General features: G+C 48.2%; 2 protein-coding genes, 2 long non-coding RNA genes and 1 other non-coding gene across 12 annotated transcripts in view, besides 4 other annotated features; 3 read left to right on the forward strand and 2 right to left on the reverse strand.

The window, feature by feature from the left end:
* Nucleotides 1–7,666, forward strand: part of SZT2 (SZT2 subunit of KICSTOR complex) — a 64,349-nt gene extending 56,683 nt beyond the window's left edge. For both annotated transcript variants that reach the window (NM_001365999.1, NM_015284.4), the window contains 7 exons: nucleotides 374–587; nucleotides 964–1,117; nucleotides 1,268–1,390; nucleotides 1,498–1,903; nucleotides 2,031–2,147; nucleotides 3,522–3,590; nucleotides 3,756–7,666. In NM_001365999.1, coding sequence (NP_001352928.1) covers nucleotides 374–587; nucleotides 964–1,117; nucleotides 1,268–1,390; nucleotides 1,498–1,903; nucleotides 2,031–2,147; nucleotides 3,522–3,590; nucleotides 3,756–3,899 — 1,227 coding nt within the window. In that variant the 3' untranslated portion in view covers nucleotides 3,900–7,666. The remainder of the gene's footprint in view (nucleotides 1–373; nucleotides 588–963; nucleotides 1,118–1,267; nucleotides 1,391–1,497; nucleotides 1,904–2,030; nucleotides 2,148–3,521; nucleotides 3,591–3,755) is intronic.
* On the reverse strand, nucleotides 1,195–2,063 carry SZT2-AS1 (SZT2 antisense RNA 1). The gene is made up of 2 exons (NR_046744.1): nucleotides 1,522–2,063; nucleotides 1,195–1,351 (listed from the first exon to the last, which is right to left on the reverse strand). It is a non-coding gene; the product is annotated as an SZT2 antisense RNA 1 (long non-coding RNA).
* MIR6735 (microRNA 6735) lies at nucleotides 1,958–2,030 on the forward strand. Its single transcript, NR_106793.1, has one exon. It is a non-coding gene; the product is annotated as a microRNA 6735 (primary transcript).
* On the reverse strand, nucleotides 4,026–7,350 carry HYI (hydroxypyruvate isomerase (putative)). 7 transcript variants are annotated; one of them, XM_006710937.4, is made up of 9 exons: nucleotides 7,014–7,350; nucleotides 6,832–6,916; nucleotides 6,322–6,423; nucleotides 5,624–5,738; nucleotides 5,354–5,432; nucleotides 5,217–5,266; nucleotides 5,067–5,136; nucleotides 4,847–4,963; nucleotides 4,026–4,490 (listed from the first exon to the last, which is right to left on the reverse strand). In XM_006710937.4, the coding sequence occupies exons 1-9, from the start codon at nucleotides 7,210–7,212 to the stop codon at nucleotides 4,438–4,440; spliced, it is 870 nt and encodes a 289-aa protein (XP_006711000.1). In that variant the 5' UTR covers nucleotides 7,213–7,350; the 3' UTR covers nucleotides 4,026–4,437. The 7 variants fall into 7 exon arrangements, with proteins under 7 accessions (XP_006711000.1, XP_047287296.1, NP_001230455.1 ...); NM_001243526.2 differs by having other exon boundaries at nucleotides 4,408–4,730; NM_001330526.2 differs by having other exon boundaries at nucleotides 4,408–4,730; nucleotides 4,829–4,963.
* Nucleotides 4,352–5,239: an enhancer, noted in NCBI's record as "H3K4me1 hESC enhancer chr1:43916604-43917491 (GRCh37/hg19 assembly coordinates)". NCBI's record gives its function as "activates a minimal SCP1, AML or CMV promoter by ChIP-STARR-seq in naive and primed H9 embryonic stem cells {active_cell/tissue: H9 hESC(naive and primed)}" and the evidence as "EXISTENCE:reporter gene assay evidence [ECO:0000049][PMID:30033119]".
* Nucleotides 5,240–6,126: an enhancer, noted in NCBI's record as "H3K4me1 hESC enhancer chr1:43917492-43918378 (GRCh37/hg19 assembly coordinates)". NCBI's record gives its function as "activates a minimal SCP1, AML or CMV promoter by ChIP-STARR-seq in primed H9 embryonic stem cells {active_cell/tissue: H9 hESC(primed)}" and the evidence as "EXISTENCE:reporter gene assay evidence [ECO:0000049][PMID:30033119]".
* Nucleotides 6,917–6,976: a silencer, noted in NCBI's record as "silent region_784". NCBI's record gives its function as "represses an Ori minimal core promoter by ATAC-STARR-seq in GM12878 lymphoblastoid cells {active_cell/tissue: GM12878}" and the evidence as "EXISTENCE:reporter gene assay evidence [ECO:0000049][PMID:35858748]".
* Nucleotides 7,087–7,386: a silencer, noted in NCBI's record as "silent region_785". NCBI's record gives its function as "represses an Ori minimal core promoter by ATAC-STARR-seq in GM12878 lymphoblastoid cells {active_cell/tissue: GM12878}" and the evidence as "EXISTENCE:reporter gene assay evidence [ECO:0000049][PMID:35858748]".
* HYI-AS1 (HYI antisense RNA 1) lies at nucleotides 7,346–10,418 on the forward strand. The gene is made up of 2 exons (NR_174945.1): nucleotides 7,346–7,472; nucleotides 9,997–10,418. It is a non-coding gene; the product is annotated as an HYI antisense RNA 1 (long non-coding RNA).
* Nucleotides 10,419–23,352: the final 12,934 nt, after the last annotated feature.

The following is a 23,352-nucleotide window of genomic DNA, read 5'->3' on the forward strand; positions in this document are numbered from 1 at the left end:
ACTGCACTCACTACAAGGCTGACCCCATCGGTCATCCAAAGCGTGTTCAGCTGTAGCCCTGAGGCAGCACAGTGCCTGGTCTGGCCTGTAGTCATCTAGAGTCTGTGGCAGACCCTGATGGAATCTGGGATAGAGCAAAATGGCCCAGTTTCTGAAAATGGCCCTAGTTTCATGGAGATAGTTACAATACAGTATGAAAAAGGGAGGCTAGAATGGGGAGGCCTTCCCACAGAAACCATTCTGGCAGAGGGCGTTCCACTAGGCCACAGCAGCAGGGGAAATCTTGTGCTTCTTCCCACGGAAGGAGGGAAATGTGTTTTGGGCAGCCAGTGCAGCCATACCTTAACCCTGTCTCCTGCTGCTGCCTCCCCAGCTGTCCATGCTGTTCACAGAGGAGTGTGACAAGGTGCGGGACCTGATGCACGTGCACTCGTTCAGCTATGACTTCCATCTGCGCCTCGTGCATCAGCACGTGCTAGGTGCCCATCTGGTGCTGCGGCACGGCTACCACCTCACCACCTTTCTGCGACACTTCCTGGCCCACCACCCTGACGGACCCCACTTTGGCCGCAATCACATTTACCAAGGTCAGTGCCCAAGGGCAAGCCAGTGAACCCAAAAAAGAACAGGCCACAGGTGCCTCCAGGTCAGGGCTGGTGGGACCACCTCCCTGGACAAGTGGTCCCATGTTGTTAATCATCTCATGTCACACATACCACGTCCCCATGTTTCTGTCCTGTGTCTGTTTCTTACCAGAGTTTGGACCCCATGTCACATGTCCCCTGCCCTCTGAGTCACTTCTGTCCCATCTCAGTGTTCCACAGGAATGCAGGAGCTCCTAAGGAAAGCAGACCCACTCTGCCTGCCAGTCAGAGCCTTAAAGACTCCCATCCCTGTGCCCCACCAGACCAGTGTGTCTGTCCTAGGCTTAGTGTCTGCTGTCTCCTGTTACTTATCCCTCAGGGACATTGGAGCTCCCCACACCACTCATTGCTGCCCACCAGCTATACAACTACGTGGCTGATCACGCCAGCTCTTACCACATGAAGCCATTGCGAATGGCCCGGCCAGGGGGCCCAGAACACAACGAGTATGCCCTGGTGTCGGCATGGCACAGGTAAGGCTGAGAGGGGCATCCAGCATGCACGCTGCAGGAGCTGGGGTTGGGACATACTTGCAGTAGGGAGACCAATGTTTTCTTGGGCAGGGGTGAGGTTTGTTTTATTAGAACCCCAGAGTTGACATCTCCCCAACCCGTCCTGCACAGTTCTGGCTCCTACCTGGACTCTGAGGGACTTCGACACCAGGATGACTTTGATGTGTCTCTGCTTGTCTGTCACTGTGCTGCACCCTTTGAGGAGCAAGGAGAGGCTGAGCGGCACGTTCTGCGGTCAGCAGATCCCCTACCTTGAACATGCCCATTTCCCAGCCTGCCCCACCCTGCCCTGTGTGTCTCTTGCTACAACCACCACTCTCCTGCCCTGCTCCCCACCCCAGGCTACAGTTCTTCGTGGTGCTCACCAGCCAGCGAGAGCTCTTCCCCAGGCTCACTGCTGACATGCGCCGCTTCCGGAAGCCACCCAGACTGCCCCCTGAGCCAGAGGCTCCTGGGAGTTCAGCTGGCAGCCCTGGGGAGGCCTCAGGGCTTATTCTAGCGCCTGGACCGGCTCCTCTGTTCCCACCACTGGCTGCAGAGGTGGGCATGGCACGAGCACGGCTGGCTCAGCTGGTGCGGCTGGCTGGAGGGCACTGCCGTCGGGACACCCTTTGGAAGCGCCTCTTCTTGCTGGAGCCACCGGGGCCTGATCGACTGCGGCTAGGGGGGCGCCTGGCCCTGGCAGAGCTGGAGGAACTCCTAGAAGCAGTCCATGCCAAATCCATTGGGGACATCGACCCCCAGCTGGTAAGGAACTGTGGGCTCCCGAAAGAGCTGGGATAGGTGCCAGGAATTCCACTGGCAGCCAGGGCAGAGGGCACAGGAATCTGAGGTGACTGGCACAGAAGACTCAGGCCTGTGGCTCCTCCCTCAGGACTGCTTCCTATCCATGACGGTCTCCTGGTACCAGAGCCTGATCAAAGTTCTCCTAAGCCGCTTCCCCCAGAGCTGTCGCCATTTCCAAAGCCCAGACTTGGGAACTCAGTACCTGGTAAGTCCCCTTGAGCTTCCTCTGAAAAGGGAAACACAGCAGAAATCCTCACCAAACAGATGTGCCCCTCAGCCTGACCAAACAAGCTCTGCTCTGGAGGGAGGCCTAGACAGAACGGGACTACACAGATACATGTAAAACCCTTCCAGTACCGGGCATCGAGCTACAGCATGTGATTCTCTGAGCAGCTCTGCCCTCAAAGACTCACCAAGAATACAAGCCTTGGCTTGAGATCCTGAGGGCCAGGCTCTGGAACTGACAACCCAAGGAGCTGTCAGAACTTTGTCAGTAGGCTGGAGCCCCAGAAAGGACCCCTTGGACTTTGAAGCCTTGTTACTTAAAGTGTGGTCCACAGACCAGCAGCCGCAGCACCTGGGAGCTTGCTGAAATGCAGGCTCTCCGGCCACATTTCAGACTGTTGACTCGGGATCTGCAGGTTGACAGTCTCCCCAGGTGATTTGTGTGCACACTGAGGCGTGAAAGCACTGCTGTAAAGGACAGGTAGAGAGAACTGTGGTGGTGGACACGAGCACAGGGCATTAAGGAGCCCACAGAGATGGGCCCAGCCAGAGCTGAGGTTCAAGAGAGGAGGCATTACAAGAGAAGACTTCAAGTGAGAAAGTAGGAGGTGGAGCCAGGTGAGGGGTCCTGCAGCACAGTGCTTGTGCAGAGGATTCATTTCAGGGTGCAGGAAGGGTCTCCCAGAGAAGCCAAGGTCAGTTAGGATGAGGCTGCAGTAGTGTCGGCGGTTGTGAATGGAGGCAGGTGCTCCTGCGGGTGGTGGGAAGGCTGGAGCAGGAGTGGGTTTTGGGGAAGGGTGACAAGCCCAGCTTGGGGCAAGCTGAGTCTGGGGTCCATAGGCCCTTCACTGTCTGCAAGGTCTGTGGGCATCAGGGATTCGAGCTCAGGAGAGTCCTAGGCAGCAGCTCTGTGAACAGGCGGTAACTGAAGCCTTGGGAGAGCAAATCATCCCGGGATGGATCACCAAGCAGAGCGTTAGGGAGCAGATGGACATAAGGGGACGACAAGACAATCCCAGGGGTGGTCAGAGAGGAGTCCCAGGACAGGAGGCAAGGAGGTTGTGCCAGGGGTACAGCACTCTCTGTTGATTGGCTTCAGTGTGCCAGGCTCTGTGTGGGGCCTCCAGGATCAACTGTTACCCCTCATTCTGATGCAGCTCAGACAGGCTGACCAGCAAGCCAGCGAGGATGAGGACTGAGGCTCAATTTGGAGACACGGTCCTATGTGACCTCAGGGTGCAGGCGGGGTGAGGTGTGGAGATGGAAGTAGGCCTCTCCTCATCCTCCCTTCACCTCAGGATGCCCTGTGGGAGGGTCTGTAGGGTCTGTGTCCCCTCCTCATCTTTCACTGCAGGTTGTGCTGAATCAGAAGTTCACTGACTGCTTTGTGCTAGTGTTTCTGGACTCCCACTTAGGAAAGACGGTAAGAACGAGTGGGGGGCTTTGTGTCAGCCTCATGGGAGGCCGTACCCCAAATGCTCCACCTCGGAGCCTGCTGAGGTTGGGGTGCCCACCCTTTCTGAGCCCTGCCTCCTATCCCCACCCATGCCCTCCTCTCACCAGTGCATCCCCACCGTGTTCCCCACAGTCTCTGACAGTGGTTTTCCGAGAGCCCTTCCCAGTACAGCCCCAGGACAGCGAGAGCCCCCCTGCCCAACTGGTCTCCACCTACCACCACCTGGAGTCTGTCATCAACACAGCCTGTTTCACCCTCTGGACCCGCCTCCTCTGAGGGAGTGGACTGGACCACTGAATGTCACTGTTCCTTGAATCATGGGCCTACCAGATTGCCTGCCAGAGGCAGGACTGACCAGCCCTTCTGGGCCCCAGGGCAAGCCAGACACTGAGTGACACCAAAGGCTTTGTAACTATGTCTTGAGGGTCTGCTGCCCCAGCCTGGCAGCAGGAACCGCCCTCCCCAAACACCCACAGCCACTGACCCATCCAGGACTCCAGAGAGTCAGGTCAACCCCGAGGACCCCTTGGGCCCTTCTGGGGTACTCCTTTCGGCCCCCCTGGTAGAGTCTCGGGAGTTCACACAGGGTGGCAAACACCCCCTAGAGCTCCTCTGCCTGAATCCTGCCCCCTAGCCTTTGACCACTGTCAGCCACCTGTGTCCCTTGAGCCTTCGGGTCTTCACTTCCCACTTGGACATCACTGCTGGACATTCCCATCGAGATGACACCTGGGTTCCAATCCCAGCTCTGCCTTTGAAGCACTTGTGGCCACCGTCAAGTCCCTTTGCTCTCGGACCCTGGGTTTCTCATCCTTTAATGAGGTGGGTTCAGAAGCTCTCCCATCTTCACAGCAACCCTGGCACTGGCTTCTCAATGGGAGGGAAGCAGCAGAGAAACTGAAGTGTTAGACACTATGTGTCCCACCACCCCATTACAGAGACATATGACAATGTTCAGCAGGTCATCTTTAATGCAGAGGAGGAGATGGGATGTCACTCGCTGTCTGGAGGCACGTGGGTGGTGTGCGGGCCCTCACTGGCCAGCCTCTGGGTGGCCCCGCCTATCCCAGTATGAACGTAGCCAACTCAAGCCCTCTACTGTGTCTCCTGCAGGGAGAGGGAGGCCTCGGCACCTCAGCCCACAAGGAGAAAACAGCCCCTGTCCGGGTCCCTCCAGAGCTCCCTTCCCCAGGGCCACGCCTCACCTCGAGGCTGATACTCACAGCCCACGAAGCCTTTGTAGCCTTCATCTTCCAGCAGTTGAAACAGATAGGGGAAATTCAGCTCTCCGGGGCTGCTGGGCTCCCCTCGGCCTGGGACCTGTGCCACCTGCACATGCCCTGGGGACAGATGTGGACAAATGTGGGGTCCAGGCTCCTGCCAGGGCCTGAAGGACAGATGTGGGGATTGAAAGGGTGGGAGGGCAAAGGAAGGTCCTCTCACCAACAATGGGCAGGAACTCCCGGATGTTTCCTGTCAGGTTCCCATCCATGATCTGCCAGTGGAATATGTCCTAGGGAAGAGGATACTACATTCCGAGACCCCGCAGGCCCCGCCCTCCTTCCGATCTGCGAAGTACCCCCTTCCACTTACCATTTGTAATTGGAGGTTGGGTCTTCCTACCTTCTGTAAGATGGCTGCCGCTGTAAGAGAAGCCAGGGAGGGGACCGTGAGCCTCAAGAGCACAGGAATCAAAAGGGACAGAAGGAGAGACAGGGCTGGGGTCGTACCCTGCTGGGGCGTGTCCAGGAAGTACTGGGGGTCAGTGATGCGGGTGTTGATGGGCTCCAGCAGTCCCACGAGGTCCTCCTAGCAGCATGTCGGGTGCTGTGAATAGAGCTCCTTCCCAAGTTTGTCCCCCATCAGTCAGTCACTGGTCAAGGCCCTCACCTGTTCCTCTGACCTAGGCTGGCAGCCTCACGTGCTGTCCCCACTGTGCACCCCCTTCTCCGCACACCCACAGAGACATGTAAGTACGTGTGTGTTTCCACCTTTCTCACCTGAGCCAAAACCCCAGCTGCATGCCTCAGGTTCTCCAGAAAAACGGCCTCCATCTCAGCCTTGACTGCTATTCGATCAGCTCCCTGGGGTACTCGGCCAGCCATCAGGTGGATCCTGTGGGGAAGATGGACTGGAGGCCTTGCCTCCCTTGGCTCTCTCTGCACCTCTTCCAGGATTCCCTGACTGTGCCAGCCCTCGTCCGTCTCCCCAGGTCTCCAGTCCATGGCACCTGGGTCACGATGCCCAGGTATCCCAGCACTTTCAGAGACACTTCAGTGATGGCTGAGGGGCAAGCCCTTTCCCAGACATCTCAGTGTCCACCCACCGCCTCCTGCCTCCAGTACTTTCCAAAACCTTTCCTTCCCTCGGTCCTTCTCCGCAACCTGTAACCTGCTAAATTCTCACCTTTAAAAATTGTCCTGACCTTTGCTTGCCCTTCTCAGGTATTCCATGCTGCTGTCTCTACTTCCTCTCCTCGCATCTACTTAGCCTTTTCCCATCTGTTTTCTGCCCCCACCATTGACCAGTAGTGATCCCCTCTTGCCAGTTCCTTCTGAGCCTGTTTGGCCTCTGCAGGATTTGACATTTGAATCAGCCCCACTTTGAGCCGTCCACCTCCTCCCATCATCCCCTGATCTTAGCCACATCCAGCTCCAAGCAGACATTCCAGGCCTCCCCATCCCAACAGGCTACATACATGTCCAGCCTCAGGAACGCTGCCAAATACACCAGGCCTCCTCTTGCCACAGCACCCTTGCAAGGAACACTCAACTTCCTGCCCATCAAGCAATGCCCACTCCTTGAAGACAGTCCAAGCATCACTACCTGTAAGCAGCTTTCTCTGATCCAGACAGGGTTAGGTGCCTACCCTGCTCCCACAGCTTCCTGGAATAGGCCTGTCCTCAAATGCATCACTGTATATATTTACTCTCCTATCTGCCTAGGCAGACTGAGCTCCCAGCATGGGATCCCAGCATGGGGTGAGCATGAAAGAGTGGCAAACAGAGTGGCATAAGACAGATAAAATACAAAAGGCAATTTACAAAGGACCAGGACCGCAGAGGCAGAGATAAACCAGTGGGCTCAGACTTCTGAGCGTCTCAGATCTGGCGTCCTCGACTCCCTGAACCTGCATCAGGGTCATGGGTCACAGGGGTGGGGGTGGGGTGGAGCGGGGTACCTGGGACAGCCCAGGGCTTTGGCATACCGCACGGCCTGCTCCAGTCCCTCTCGGAAGGCCGCCTGTCTCCCGGGGACGGCCCCCAGCCCCATTTCCCCCTTCTCTTGGTCTCCTGCAGAGAGAACGGGCCTCAGCCCCCGGCTCGGACACTCCCCTGCCCGCGCCCCGGCACCCCCCAGCCCTCCCAGCCCTCCCGGCCCGCGACGCACCCGGGGGCGTGTTGATCAGTACAAGCCGCAGCCCCGCTTCTCGCGCGGCGCGCGCCAGCGCCTCAGGCGTCTCCGCGTACGGCCAGGCCACCTCGACGGCCTCGAAGCCCGAGCTGCCCGCGGCCCGCACCCGCGCGGGGAGGCCGGAGAGCTCGGGGAATAGCCAGGACAGATTGGCGGAGAAGCGCAGCGGCGCCATGCCTGGGGAGGCCGGGCCGGGCGGAGTCCGCGGGATCCAAAGGCGGCGGGCGGCGGGCGGCGGGCGGCGGGCGGGGGCGGGGCTCTCCTTGCTGGCCCTGCGAACGAACGAGCACTGTTCGTGGTTAGAAAAGCGAAGTGCTGTAAAAACCCGGGCCTTCACGAAAAGCGCCTACGGTTAGCGAGAGAGGGATCACGGGGAGAGGCGAAGGGGCGGAGCGAGGGCGGCCGGAAAAGGAGCAGGACCCGCGCCTGGAGAAGGTAGGGAGGCCGAGCTCCAGGGCCTGAGAGCCGGACGCGAAGCAAGAGAGAGCTGGCTGCCCGAGGGCCCGGTTGCAATGATGGGACGCGCACTTTAATACTGAGTCTTTCCTCTGATTATAAAAATGCTATCTGTTCGTTAAGCAACATTTGAAAGCTGTATGACCAAATAAAGAAGCACTTTTATACCGCCAGTTATCACACCACTAGCCTGTTGGCTTTCCCGTCCAAATTTTAAAATATGCAATTTTTTTCTTTGGAAATTCTGATCATTCGGTATATGCTGTTTTATAGCTCTTTTTCATGGAATATTATTTTGTGAGCATTTCCTCGTGTTTTCCAATAGCCTTCAAAGTCAGTGCCTTCGCTGCTCATTGTCGCACACCTAAGCAGCAAGTCATTATTGTACTTTGTGGTTGGATATCGTGTGTGTGCACGCGCGCTGCAAGCGCACTTTCAGGCACTTCTTAGTCCCTATCTCTGACTCTTTTCCGAGTCTTTTTCTAGAGATGTCCATCACAGTGTTTGCCCGTTCACGCCGCTAGTCTTTTGCAAGGGAAACCGCCCCATTGGAGCAGCTATGGGTGAGCTGTCCCTTTTTAGCCTTAGCCTCAGCTGATTGGACCAGGGAGGTCATCTGATCCCAGGGCAGCCAATCCATAGACTGGCCAAAAACCTCTTACTTGCGTCGTTTGGAAAGGTAATTTAACCAATCAAGAGTTCAAACAAGGAAATGCTGAGAGTCAACAGGTGGTGTTGCCAGAAGGTGACTGGGCTGTAGAAACGAAATAAGACAGTCCTATGGTAAAGAAAAGCTAGAGCGGAAAGGAGGGGAACCAAGTCCTGTGAATAGAGGTAGCACCCTGAGAAACCCATGTCATCCCAAGGGTGCCCAAACCCATAGCTGCCCCCAGGTCTGTGCACTTAAGGCTGGGATGCTTAGACTTTCCTGGGTTTCTGTCTCTGTATAGCCTCTTAATGTTTCTTGAGATAATTTGAATGATTTTACTTTCATCTACAATAACCCAACTGATTGGGCAGGTTCTTATGGGTAGAATTACATGGTCAAAAATAGGAACATATTTAAGTTGTTGATATCTTAAATTTCCTTTGAAAAATATAAATTTATATCCCAACAATTCATGAGTAAACGTCATCTTGATCTATCGTCTGTGCTAACTTTGACAGAGAAGCTTAAAGTGCAACATTAGGAACACCCAGCTCCCACTGATTGTTCTGTCAACACTCAACTCCATCTCAAATGAGGCCAGCTCAGACACCAGGGATCCAGCCTGATCCCGTGGTGAACCCAAATTCTTGGCAGGTTCTGTTTCTTCAGCTCTGCCTCCAAGAACAGACTGCTGCCAGCTGACACTGATCACCTGATTTCATGCTCTTTTGCAGCTGGTTTTACACTAGGACCTTTGCCTTGTCTTGGAACGTGTTTCTCGTCCAATCAAGACCTCACTAAGCTTAACATTGTAATCAGTCCCAACTTTAGTGTGTTTGCAATCCAAAATTGACAACAAAGAGTAACATCTAGAGGAAGTAATTCCTTTATTACCACCTCACTGTTGATCTCCGAGTATGCAAATTCTATTTATGATGTTGACAGCTGCTGAGCTCTGCGTCAGAAACAAAATGTGTCCAACTCCCGATTGTCCACCCCTTTTTTCCTTGGACATGCCTTAGGGCAGTAAAGATTATACATAAACTAGACATAGGTGACTCACTTTCCCCTTAATTCCCTTACAACACCTTCCACCTTCACATAATATGCTCAAATAAATATATAAGGAGTGCAATGTCCATGAAAATTATTTGCTTTATTCACCTTTGACTATGTCTTATCCCACCTTGCAACACAGGCATGACACTAAGTTATCACAAGTTTTGATTCTTTGCATTTGCCTTTTTTTTTTGCTTTATTGTGCACACTTCACAGGTACGTATTTGACTTTTAACCAAATAATTTGCACAGGTGTGATTTTAAAGTAACAACAACTTGTAAATAGTTGCATGGATAATGGCAAAAACTTTAGTACAGAGTTCAGAGTCTCATTTGATCATTGGATAACATTTGGCAATGCAGTAAAACATATTACAACTCATGTGAAATGCAAATCAAAACCTCAATGAAATTCTATTTTATGCCTTCCACATTGGCAAAAATAAAAAACACATTATCAAATATTGGATAGGATTTGGAACAACTGCCAACAGGAGTGTAAATCACTATAACCTCCTTGGAAAACAATTTGGCATTGTCTCTTAAAGCTAATATGCCTATGATCTGACAGTTCCTTTCCCAGGTGTATCCCCTGAAGAAAGTTTTGCACAAGTGTACCAGGAAAGAAGTAAAGTGATGTTCACAGCAGAACTATTTATGTAGCAAAAAGATGGGACTAACCCAAATGTCCATCCATCCATACATAGATGAGTTGTGTAATAGTATAGTCATACCATGTTGTACAAGAGAAAGCTGGTGGCTCAAATGATAACACTGAGTTTGTTCCTGTGTTAGGACAATATATGAAGAGCTTAGTGAAGTTTGATTGGAACTGAAAAACATCAGTATGAAAGCATCAAGTGGATAAATCTCAGAAACATAATCTCTAGAGGAACAAGCAAATCACAGAGAAATACCTACAGTGTGATTCCATTGATATAAAGTCAAAGGCAGGGAAAACCAACAGTATCTTGTGTAGGAATATGGACATCTCTGATAAAACAATGAAGAACAAGTGAATAATTATCACAAAATTCAGCATAATGGTGACCACCTCTAGAGGAGGACAGAAGAGGGTAGCATTGGAGCCTTCTCTTACGTTGGATAGCACATTCATGTATGTTAATTTTACTACTCTTCTTTAGAGCTAACATATATTTTATAAATATCATTTTTTATCTGTCTTATATTTAATAAAAACACATTTTTAAAACCTGTATGCATTACTGCCATCTGTTAGCACATTTGATATTAACATCCTCATTGTGGTATCACTATAATCTCAAGATTTTTCTACAGGTTCAGCTTGTTTGTGTTGTTTGTCTGGTTTGAATTCTAATGATCACTTTTTAGACTCAACTTGTCACTGCTCAGCACAGTGGTCTTTTATTGTATTATCTGTCCAGAACCTGTGGCAGGTAGCGTGTAAAATGGTCCCCAATGGGTCAGAGGGGGTGGCTCACACCTGTAATCCCAGCACTTTGGGAGGCTGAGGCAGGAGGATAACTTGAGCCCAGGAGTTTCAGACCAGCCTTAGCAACCTGGTGAAACCCCATCTCGACAAAAATATAAAAATTGGCCAGGCGTTGTGGCATGTGCGTAGCCCCAGCTACTCCAGAGGCTGAGGTGGGAAGATCACTTGAGTCTGGGGGAGGTCAAGGCTGCAGTGAGCTGTGATTGCACCACTGCACTCCAGCCTGGGTGACAGAGCAAAACCCTGTCACAAGAAACAATAAATAAAATAAAATAAAATAAAATAATAAAATAACCGTTAGCAAGATTAACCAAGAAGAGCGAAAATCCAAATAACCTCACTAAGAAACGAAACAGGAAATATTACAACTGACACCACAGAAATACAAAAGATCATTCAAGGCAACTATGAACATCTTTATGCACATAAACTAGAAAACCTAGAAGAAGTGGATAAATTCCTGGAAAAATACAACCCTCCTAGCTTAAATCAGGAAGAATTAGATACCCTGAAGAGACCAATAACAAGCAGCAAGATTGAAATGGTAATTTAAAAATTATCAACAAAATAAAGTCCAGGACCAGACGGATTCACAGCAGAATTCTACCGGACATTCAAAGAATTGGTGCCAATCCTTTTGACACTATTCCACAAGACAGAGAAAGAAGGAACCCTCCCTAATTCATTCTATGAAGGCAGCATCACCCTAATACCAAAACCAGGAAAGGACACAACTAAAAAAGAATACAGACCAATATCCTTGATGAACATAGATGCAAAATCCTTAACAAAATACTAGCTAACCGAATCCAACAACATATCAAAAAAATAATCCACCACAATCAAGTGGGTTTCATTCCAGGGATGCAGGGATGGTTTAACACATGTAAGTCAATAAATGTGATACACCACCTAAACAAGAATTAAAAACAAAAATCACATGATCATCTCAATAGATGCAGAAAAAGCATTCAACAAAATCCAGCATCCCTTTATGATTAAAACCCTCAGCAAAATCGGCATACAAGGGACATACTTTCATGTAATAAAGGCCATCAATGACAAACCCACAGCCAACATAATACTGAATGGGGAAAAGTTGAAAGCATTCCCTCTGAGAACGGAAACGAGACAAGGCTGCCCACTCTCACCACTCCTCTTCAACATGGTACTGGAAGTCCGAGCCAGAGCAGTCAGACAAGAGAAAGAAATAAAGGGCATCCACATCGGTAAAGAGGAAGTCAGACTGTCCCTGTTTGCTAACAATATGATTGTTTATCTTGAAAACCCTAAGGACTCCTCCAGAAAGCTCCTAGAACTGATTATTCAGCAAAGTTTCTGGATACAAGATTCATGTACACAAATCAGTAGCTCTTCTATACACCAACAGTGACCAAACAGAGAATCAAATCAAGAATTCAACCCCTTTTTACAATAGCTACAAAAAAAAAATAAAATACTTAGGAATATACCTAACAAAGGAGTTGACCTCTACAAGGAAAACTACAAAACACTGCTGAAAGAAATTATAGACAACACAAACAAATGGAAACACATTTCATGCTCATGGATGGGTAGAATCAATATTGTGAAAATGATCATACTGCTGGCTGGGTGCAGTGGCTCACGCCTGTAATCCCAACACTTTGGGAGGCCGAGGAGGGCAGATCACTTGAGGTCAGGAGTTCCAGACCAGCCTGGCCAACATGGTGAAACCCTGTATCTACTCAAAATACAAAAATTAGCTGAGCGTGGTGGTGCATGCCTGTAGCCCCAGCTACTAGGGAGGCTGAGGCAGGAGCATAGCTTGAACCTGGGAGGTGGAGGTTGCAGTGAGCCGAGATCATGCCACTGCACTCCAGCCTGGACAGCAGAGCAAGACAAATACTCACATCCAACTGATCTTCAACAAAGCAAATAAAAACATAAAGTGGAGAAAGGACACCCTTTTCACAAATGGTGCTGGGATAATTGGCTAGCCACATGTAGGAGAATGAAACTGGATCCTCATCTCTCACCTTATTACAAAAATTAACTCAAGATAGATTAAGGACTTAAACCTAAGACCTGAAACTATAAAAACTCTAGAAGATAACATTGGAAAAACCCTTCTAGACGTTGGCTTAGGCAAGGATTTCATGACCAAGAACCCAAAAGCCAATGCAATAAAAACAAAGATAAATAGCTGGGATCTAATTAAACTAAAGAGCTTTTGCATGGCAAAAGGAACAGTCAGCAGAGTAAACTGACAACCCACAGAGTAGGAGAAAATCTTTACAATATATACATCTGACAAAGGACTAATATCCAGAATCTACAACGAACTCAAACAAATCAGTAAGAAAAAAAAATCCCATCAAAAAGTAGGCTAAGGACATTAATAGACAATTCTCAAAAGAAGATAGACAAATGGCCAACAAACATATGAAAAAATGCTCAACATCACCAATGATCAGGGAAATGCAAATCAAAACCGCAATGTGGTACTACCTTACTCCTGAAAGAATGGCCATAATCAAAAAATCAAAAAACAGTAGATGTTGGCGTGGATGCGGTGAACAAGGAACACTTCTACACTGCTGGTGGGAATGTAAACTAGTACAACCACAATGGAAAACAGCGTGGAGATTCCTTAAAGAACTAAAAGTAGAACTACCATTTGATCTAGGAGTCCCACTACTGGGTATCTACCCAGAGGAAATCATTATTTGAAAAAGATACTTGCACATGCATGTTTATAACAGCACAATTCACCACTGCAAAATCGTGGAACCAACCCAAATGCCCATCAATCAACAAGTGGATAAAGAAACTGTGAGATATATATATCTCTAGAGGAAGAAGCAAATCACAGAGAAATACCTACAGTGTGATTCTATTGATATAAAGTCAAAGGCAGGGAAAACCAACAGTATCTTGTGTAGGAATACGGACATCTCTGATAAAACAATGAAGAATAAGTGAATAATTATTACAAAATTCAGCATAATGGTGAATTTTTTATATATATAAATTTATATGTATACAATTTTTATATATAAATGTATATATATAAATTTATATATATAATTGTATATATATATAATGGTGAATTTTTTATATATATTATATATATATAGTGGAATATTACTGATCCATAAAAAGGAATCAAGTAACAATATTTGCAGTGACCTGGATGAGACTGGAGACTATTATTCTAAGTGGAATAACTCAGGAATGGAAAACCAAACATTGTATGTTCTCACTGATGTGTGGGAGCTAAGCTATGAGGATGCAAAGGCATAAGAATGATACAATGGACTTTGGGGACTTGTGGGGAAGAGTGGGAGGGGGTGAGGCATAAAGGACTACAAATAGGGTGCAGCATATACTACTCGTAAATCACCACTAAATAACTTATGTAACCAAATACCACCTGTACCCCAATAACTTATGGAAAATAAAATAAAAAATTTAAATTAGCCGGGTGCAGTGGCTCACGCCTGTAATCCCAACACTCTGGGAAGCCAAGGCGGGCGGATCTCTTGAGGCCGGGAGTTTGAGATCTGCCTGGCCAACGTGGTGAAACCCCGTCTCTACTAAACATACAAAAATTAGCTGGGCGTGATGGCATGTGCCTGTAATATCAGCTACTCAGGAGACTGAGGCAGGACAATTGCTTGAACCTGGGAGGTGGAGGTTGCAGTGAGCAGAGATCGCACCACTGTACTCCAGCCTGGGACAGAGTGAGACTCCATCTCAAAAAAACAATAAAACAAACAAAAAGTGGTTCCCTATATCTCTGTCTCCTGGTATTCATGCCCCCGTGTACCTCCGTTCCCTTGTTTGTGAGCTGGACCTAGCAACTCACTTCAAACAAACAGAATATTGCAGAAGTGGTGTGATGTCATCTCAGAGATTACATTACAAAAAGCCTGTGGCTTCTATCTTGGCTCCTTTCACTCTTTCACTCGCTCTGAGGAAAACCCGCTGCCATGTTGTGAGCTGCCCTGTGGAAACACCTGTGTGTCAAGGAACTTATGTTCTGGCTGTTATGGACTGAGTGTTTGTGTTCCCCCAAAATTTGTATGTTGAAGCCCTAACCACTACTGTGATGGCATTTAGGAATGAGGCCTTTGGGAGGTGATTAGGTCTAGATAAGGTCATGGGGTGGGATCCCATGATGGGATAAGTGTCTTCGTAAGAAAAGGAAGAGAGACCAGAGCTTGCTCCCCACCCCCTGCTCTCTCTCTCTTTCTCTTTCTCTCTCTCTCTCTCTCTCTCTCTCTCTGGACACATGGAGAAGGCAGCATCTGCAAGCCAGTAAGAAAGCCATCACCAGGAACCAAATCTGCTGGCACCTTGATGTTGGACTTCCCAGCCTCCAGAGCTGTGTGAAATCCATGACTATTGTTGAAGCCACCCAGTCTATGGTATTTTGTTTTCACAGCCCAAGCTAATACACTGGCCAACAGCTGGTAAGAACCTGAGGCCTGCCAACAGGTACATGAGTGAGCTCTGAAGCAGATACTCCCTTGATTGAGCCTTAAAATGCCTATCTCCTGGCCCATGCTTTGATTACAGCCTTGTAAGAGATACCCAGCTAAACTACACCTGGTCTCCTGACCCACAGAAACTCTTTGGTAGGAAATGTTTGCTGTTTTAAGCCACTGAGTTTTGGGGTAATTTATTAGTCACAATTGCTTATTAATAGAGGATCTCTTTCTGGGACCAATTCCCTTGTTTGGGGGAACTATACCACTTTCACCACTTCTTCACCTTAAGGTGTGAATGGAGCTATCATCTTCTTATATGATTCTTTCTTCTGAGCCATAGTGATTGGTCAATGAGCAGGCACCTGACCCAAGCTGGCCCAGGCATAATACCTGTTTCAGTTGTTGCAGGTTGCCCATTCAATATATGTTTCCTCTTTTCTCCATCCTAATAGAACCATACACATGGGGACAGTCAGCCAGAGAGAATGAAGCTAATGTACAAAGAGAAGTGGCAAACAAAAACCAAGAGATGCATTGTGTTTACATTGTTTAGCACCTGGAGCTTCTATAAGGGAATCAACCAGGTTGGGCTTCTTTTTTTTTTTTTTTTTTTTTTTTTGAGATGGAGTCTCACTCTGTCGCCCAGGCTGGAGTGCAGTGGTGCAATCTCAGCTCACTGCAAGCTCCACCTCCCGGGTTCACGCCATTCTCCTGCCTCAGCCTCCAGAGTAGCTGGGACTACAGGCGCCCGCCACCACGCCCGGCTAATTTTTCGTATTTTTAGTAGAGACGGGATTTCACCGTGTTAGCCAGGATGGTCTCAATCTCCTGACCTCGTAATCCGCCTGCCTCGGCCTCCCAAAGTGCTAGGATCACAGGCGTGAGCCACCACGCCCGGCCAGGTTGGCCTTCTTACTTCGTCTTAACCCGTTCCAAAATCAAGATAACCCAGAACTAACTTGCTTTTCCCATCCAAAGAGCTAGCATTGTGCACATTGCAGGAAATACTTGGATCTCTCAGTAAAAAGAAATTTAAAGACCCAAACCCTGGGGCTTTGGGGCTATGTATTTATATCATTTCATGAATTTATATAATTTAATATAACTTATAGTGGAGGCTGGGTGACCCCACAGCGCATTAGGGACTTCAGTGTCTAAGAGGAATCTTTGTCTTTCAAACATTATATTAATGTTTTTTATTTCATCCAGTCTTCTTTAAACTCTTTCCTATCTTGCTCTAAACAAGAGCATCCTCATTTCTATTTAACTTTCTTGTTTGAGCTACTAATCTTTCCACTACTTTCCTACAGTCTGCTCAAATCAGATTCCATATATCATGTTATATATTTTCACACCCAACCATGTGTTCAGTTATAGCTGTCTAGATTTAGGAATATCAACATTCAAGTGTCACTCTATTATTATTATTTTTTGAGCCATTGAGCCTGCATTTCTAAAGCTTCAGAATTTTTCTTTCCTACTTTACTCAATTTTACAAGTAATAGTCCATATCACATGGATTCATGACAGCTTGTAACAGTGTCAAAAAGGAAACTAAATCTTGGGTAAAATTTTTCTTTCATAGTTTTCTGTTGTATCCAAGCATTCATACAGGAATATCCATGGTACATCTACGTTAGAACTCTATAACTAAAATTTCGGTAGATTTAAACAGAATCATCTCACACACGGTACATTGAATAACAATAGCATTATACAAAACAGCATTGAATCACTTTACAAAATTTGTGCTTGCATGAGCTATCATCTATATTCTTGGAAGAATATTATAATATTTGCTGTTCCATATTATACATTTTTGTCTTTAAAAGGAAGTTCCTATCACTGGCCCTGTATCTTTAGTTTATGTTCTATTACTGGGTGGTTGGATCTCATCCAGAAACCTTTCTGGGGCCCCTCCCTTACATCTGCATGCTGTTGGTAACACACAAAGGCCCTCGGCAGTCTCAATTTATGGAATGTTAACTAACGGCACACTCAACCACATGCAAACTTAGTTAAATACAACCAGCATTTGTCTAGCTCAAAGGGTACAGGTGTAAACAGTTTTTTACATTAAATTTGTAATTTGGAAAAAATCTCAGTAACCCTGACTACACAATCCTATCCTTTCCTCATTTAATGTTTACACTCATGAATTCTACCCATGGTGTTATGTATGTATTTTTTACAACTTGTTTTTTTCCCCTTAGCAATATATATAGGAAGTCTTCCCTTAAAAAATAAAATCAGGCCAGGCACAGTGGCTCATGCCTGTAATCCCAGCACTTTGGGAGGCCAAGGCGGGTGGATTATTTGAGATCAGGAGTTCGAGACCAGCCTGGCCAACATGGTGAAACCACGCCTCTACCAAAAATACAAAAATTAGCCGGGTGTGGTGGTGAGCTCCTGAAGTCCCAGCTACTTGGGAGGCTGAGGCAGGAGAATCACTTGAACCCAGGAGCCAGAGGTTGCAGTGAGCCAAGATCATGCCACTGTACTCCAGCCTGGATGACAGAGCAAGACTCCATCTCAAAAATAAAAAAATAGAAATAAAAAATCAATTTACCTTATTGTGCTCTCTCGCTTTAGCCAGTCTTTTAACTGTGTTTATATTAAAAATATGTTTTTATTGTTTCCCTACTGATAGATAACAATATTGTTTCCAAATCCTTACTGTAACAAGCAATACACATCCCTGTATATGCTTTCTTGTGGCATACAAATATGCGTATTTCTCCAGCTTAGGTCTCCATAAGTGGGCTTTCTGGGTCAAAGGATATGCACATTTAAGGTTCAAATTCACTGCCAAATTGTCCTTCAGCTTTATCAACTTATATGCCTACTAACAACCCCTAAGAGTGTCTGTTTCCCTACGTCTTCATCAACACTGGATAACATCAGTCTTTAAAATGTTTACCAACCTGAAGGGGAAAAAAACATTTGTAAGAATCAAGTCCTCAACTATTCCTGAGGTTGAACATCTCTCCAGATATTTATTGGCCATTAGTATCTGGATAGATGTTCAACCTCAGGAGTCATAATAATAAAAATTCTGTGAGTTGCTTATTTGAAGTCTTTGTCCCCCTTCTTTTTTTTTTTTTTTTTGTAGAGATAAGATTTCACTCTGTCGCCCAGGCCGGAGTGCAGTGGCACAATTGTAACCTTGAACTCCCGGACTCAAGCAATCCTCCCTACTCAGCTTCCAAAGTAGCTGAGATTACAGGAGCACACCAGCTAATTTTTATATTTTTTTGTAGAGATGGGGTCTTGCTATATTGCCCAGGCTAGTCTCAAACCACTGGCCTCAAGTGATCCTCCCACCTCAACCTCTCGAAGTGCTGTGATTACAGACGTGAGCCACTGTGCTTGGCTATCAGTTGGATTCTCAGTGTTTAATTAATCAGTTTAGAGGCGTTCTTCATAAAAATTCTGGATATTAAGCCTTTGGTTGTTTTTGCTTATCTTTTGATTTTATTTAAAGTGTCATTCACTATTCAAAATATTGGCACTCTCGGGACTGTTCCTTTGTGGAAGGAGTCTTCGAGAATAAAGCTCCTGGCCTCTTGCCCCACCTTCCCAGTCTTACCCTGGGGATGGGGAGTGACTCAACTGGTGGGTAACTTTGGCAGAAGAAGAAGCCGAAACGCTCAGCTCAGCTGCATCCTCCCTCCCCTCTGTGAAAAAGCATGCACCCTGCTCTGCCTCCATGCCTGCCCGCAAGTTTTACAGGAGCCGGCCCTTGCGGTTGACCTCAGGAGTGAAATATTAGCAAACCTGCCTGCCTAGCAGACCTAAGCCATATTGTCCAGTATCAGTTTTGATGGTAATAAAAGTAATATTTGTATTTCCATCTGCCACATTCCTGTGTCTATCTCTTAATAGGTTCTTGAATCAGTCAGAGTCCAAACAAAAAACAGATGGCACGCTCAAATTAGGATAATTCAGGAGATTTAATAACAGGACTATTTATGAAGGTGTGGGCAGAACCTAGAGGAGATACAGGGGATACTGCAGCAATCTAGGGCCTACAAGGGTGATGGGGGGCGCAGGAGTTACTGGAATCCAGGAGGAGAGAGTCATAGCTGCCCTCAGAGGAGCAGAAGCCCCTGGCTGTGGAACACAGGTGGCCAAGGCAAGCCTACAAGGAGGAAGCCCGATAAATAAGTGACCTGACCTTACTCTCTTTCCTCCCTCTAATCTTCTGCTAGGCCTCCCTGCTTGATAAAGCAAACAGAGCCAAAGGGCAAGGGAAGCCATTGATGTAACCAACACAGGTCCATCTACTTGGGCAGAGAGAGAGGAGGAAAGAGATCTGGGGGCATAAATAGAATATATCTGGCACAGTTCTCTTTCTTCCCTCAGTATACACTTTCATCTTTGATACGGGTGAAAAATTCATGTCCTCATCAAAGGGAATGCACAAAGTCCCATTGGCTACTGTTTTATCAAGAGGCAATCTCAATCTGGCATAATTCCCCCTGAAACCTAGAGCATGACTGCCACTGGTGTTCTTCAAATAAGGAATTGGGTAAAAGTGAGGCGCGGTGTGGCAGGCAGAATTCAGAGATAGCATCCCCAAATTCCTGCACCTTCCAGTGCCACACACCTTCTCCCAGTTATTCAATCAAACACAAATCAAGGGGCTGCTGTGATGGGATTTTGCAGAGGCAATTGAGTTCTCAAATCAGTTAGAAAAGAGAGGTTATCCTGGGTAAATCTGACCTAATTGGGTTAGCCTTTAAAAGGAACTGGGCTCTTCCTGGTGGAAGAGATTTGAAGTGTGATACATGAAAAATTCTCCATTGGTGGCCTTGAAGATGGAGAGGGCTTTGTGGCAAGGAGTGTAGGTGGTTTCAGTGAGCTAAGAGCAGCCCCTGGCTGACAGCCAGCAAGGAAATGGAGCCTCAGTTCTCTAGCCACAGGAACTGAATTCTGCCCCAATCGTGTGAGCTTGGAAAAGGACCCTGAGCTCCAGATGAGAAGGTAGCCCATGCCGCACAAGGATTTTAGTCCTGTGAGACCCTGAGCAGAGAATCCAGCCATGTACACCAGGCCTAGATTTCTGATGTACAAAACCGTGAACTAATAAATGGGTATGGCTTTAAACAGCTTAACTTGTGATAATTTGTTATATAACCCTAGAAACTAATACAGGAGGCCAGGAGCATGCCTGTAATCCCGCAGCACTTTGGGAGGCCGACACAGAAGGAGAGCTTGAACCCAGGAGTTCAAGACCACCCTGAGCAACATAGTGAGACCCCATCTCTACAAAAAGAAAAAACATTAGCTGGGTGTGATGGGGCACACCTGTAGTCCCAGCTACTTGGGAGGCTGAGGTGGGAAGATCACTTGAGCCTGAGAGGTTGAGGCTGCAGTGAGCCAAGGCTGCACCACTGCATTCCAGCCTGGGTGATAGTGAGACCCTTTCTAAAAAGAAAAAAAGAAGAAGAAGCTAATACAGGCAGCAAACAGTAAGGTAACATAAAACCAGTTTTTATAGTCCCCATTTCCATAGCTGGGAATGGGGCCTAAACTGCTAATCACCTCTGCCTTCTTCCATCACTTGATCCAGGTTCCCTTTTTCCTCATCCAGCACCTCAGATGGATGGGTGTCTTTACCTAGTGAAATGACCCTAACATTCTTTCTTGTAGGATTTGAATCTTTGATGGTCTTGACGTTATTGGGTTGTCACAGTTTTCCACTGACCAGGACTTTAGAGCGAGAGAGGACTAAGAGGTGCCCTAAACATATACCAGCAACACAATTATCCCCTGAGAATCAGGACCAATTGCCCCAGTGAAGAAAGAAGTCTTCTTATTTGTCTGTTCACTGGAACAATGGTCATTTTTCCTGGTAGAAGAATTACCACTTTGAACACTAGGACCTTCAGATCCATGGAGCCTAAGATTGCAAGGATACTCTTTAAGCCTTTAAGTGGATTATTAGGTATGATAGTGAGAGGGACCACTCCCACCACTATCCCTTTGTTCTTACACCTATGCAGCCTGGCTATGGGCACCATATGTTGACTTCTGATTGAAAGCATACACTGTACCCTATGAGAGAGCACCCCCACATTGGAGGGTGTTGCCTTCCAGAGGGCACTGTAATGAGCCTTTAGTAATCTGTTTCACCATTCTCTCAAGCTACTTGCTTCCAAGTTGTTGCAGGATCCTTGGGGTGTTGCCTTTCTGGCTGGAAACCTCTGTGGCGAGTAGTGTCTTTGCCCAAGTTTTGCTTGGGCCCACTGGGCTCATTCCTCCCACTCAACCTGGCAGGCTGTACTCGGCTCATGCCACTGACCTGGATGCCATGCCTGCCAAGGGCAAGCCAGGTGTGGAGCAGTAAGGGGTATGTGAGTGAGCAAGCATGGGGTCTGGCCACTGCTTACAGGCAAGCGTGCTGGCTACTGCAGTGGGGTGGGCAGCTCCAGGTGTCAGCACAGGTGCTGGCTCTCTGCAAGGCTGCAGCTAGACCAGGTGTACTGCAAGCAGCTTCTATGGCTGGCACCAGGGAACATGGTGGCACCCGGAAGCTTGGAGACTTCAGGAACTTCAGGGCCTCAAAGAGGGAGTCACAGCCCTGGCTCGGGGAGCTCCCAGGTCTGGGCTCCCCAAAGGGCCACAGCTCTTCTTTCTTCTTCTCCTGCAATGTGGTGAGCAAGGGGTGTGTTTCAGCCCTGTTTGTGTTACAGCTCTTTCAGCCCCACCATTCAGCAGGTCCCAAGTTCTTGTCCTGCGTCCAGGAAGAATGAGGTACATGGACAAGTGCAGGATGAGCAAGGCAAAGAGGAGCTGTGTGGAGTGACACAATAGCTCAGAGGAGGCCCTGGAGTGGGAAGCTCCTCTCTGCAGCTGGTCATTGGGACATCTGCTCAGCTCTGGCTGAGCCTGGGGCTTTAATGGGCCTCAGAAGGACAAAGTGTGTACTGATTGGTCCATGGGTGGCCATGGGTGGGCCCAGAAAAGGCACCACAAGTTCAGACTGGCAGTCCCACCCCTAGCTTTCAGGCCCTCCCTGGCCTGAAGGTCGGGCCTCACCACAGACCCGTTCCCTACTGTGCAGGATCCCTTCTGTGCGGGAGCTTGTCTGCCTCCTGCTGCTGTTGATGGTGCCCAGGCTGTTTGTGCCAAGGAACACCTGCAGGCCTGTGCCAAGATTCCCTCAACTTCCCCTTGGCTTCCCTCCTATGCTTATTAGTGCCCAAAGTCTGGAGGGGGCCAAGGTGGCAGGGGGCTGGCGTGTTGGCACTGCCCCAAGTGTTCTCACACCCAGCCAGGCTGTGACAGCACCCAGGCTTGGCCCCAACCTTGCTCTGAGATTGGAGCAGACAAGGGAGTGGGAAGAGGCCAGGCAGTGGGAGCAGACACCTCTGAGCCTGCAGGAGGAAGGGGGACTCTCCCAGGCCCCTGAGAGTGCCCAGTTGTCTGGGTCCACAGCTATAGCTTGGGCGGTTGCAGCTACACCCAGATAGGTGGGATTCCTGCCTGCTCCTGGACCCCCCAAGAGCACAGAGATGCCTGGGTCCACAGCCATGACTTGGGTGGTTGTAGCTGTACCTGAAAGGGTGGGGCTTCTGCCTGCTCTGTGGAGTGAAAGGCCCAAGTCCGCAGCCACGACTTGGGCAGCTGCAGCTGCACCACCCAGGGAGCTCCTTCCCCACCAATGCAGAAGGGGCAGGGCTCCCACTTGTCCCCAGCTCCTGCTGGCTCTGTGGAGTGTGCAGCCGTGGCCGCACCTCCCTGCTACAGCTGGCATGTGGCAGCAGCCACTCCAGACGAGCTGCCACTGCCATCAAATTGATAAGCCACATCATAACACCAGAGAATTTTATGGGCAGGAGCCCACTGCCATACTTCCTATGCTATAAAATGGGCCCCCTTATCAGAGATGATGTTGTATTTGATACTGTGGTGAAGAATAAGGCATTCCGTAAGTCTACAAGTGATGCTGGAAGAAGCACTTCAGGCAGAGAAGACAAATGTGTACCCAGAAGACATGTTTACGGCATGAAAGCAAAATTCTATTCCTTTCAAGATGGAGGAGTCCAAGGTAGGCTTCCCCCAAACAAAGTGTGTCTCCATCATTGTGTTGTGAAATTCAAGGGCAAGCAACTTGTCTCTCACTTTAGAGAAGGATTACCCACGCCAATGACCCTCTAGAAACTTCACTTACATAATATGCCTCTTGGCCTTAGG

The sequence above is a fragment of the Homo sapiens genome, chromosome 1 (genome assembly GCF_000001405.40).
Source record: "Homo sapiens chromosome 1, GRCh38.p14 Primary Assembly".
Lineage (NCBI taxonomy): Eukaryota > Metazoa > Chordata > Mammalia > Primates > Hominidae > Homo > Homo sapiens.

Coding starts and splice junctions, on each gene's coding strand:
- HYI (NM_001330526.2), bottom strand. CDS start 7,212: ATGGCGCCGCTGCGCTTCTCCGCCAATCTGTCCTGGCTATTCCCCGAG. Junction 5,137..5,216: donor CCAACCTCCAATTACAAATG/GTAAGTGGAAGG, acceptor CCTCTTCCCTAG/GACATATTCCACTGGCAGAT. Junction 4,731..4,828: donor CTGTGAGTATCAGCCTCGAG/GTGAGGCGTGGC, acceptor CTCTCCCTGCAG/GAGACACAGTAGAGGGCTTG.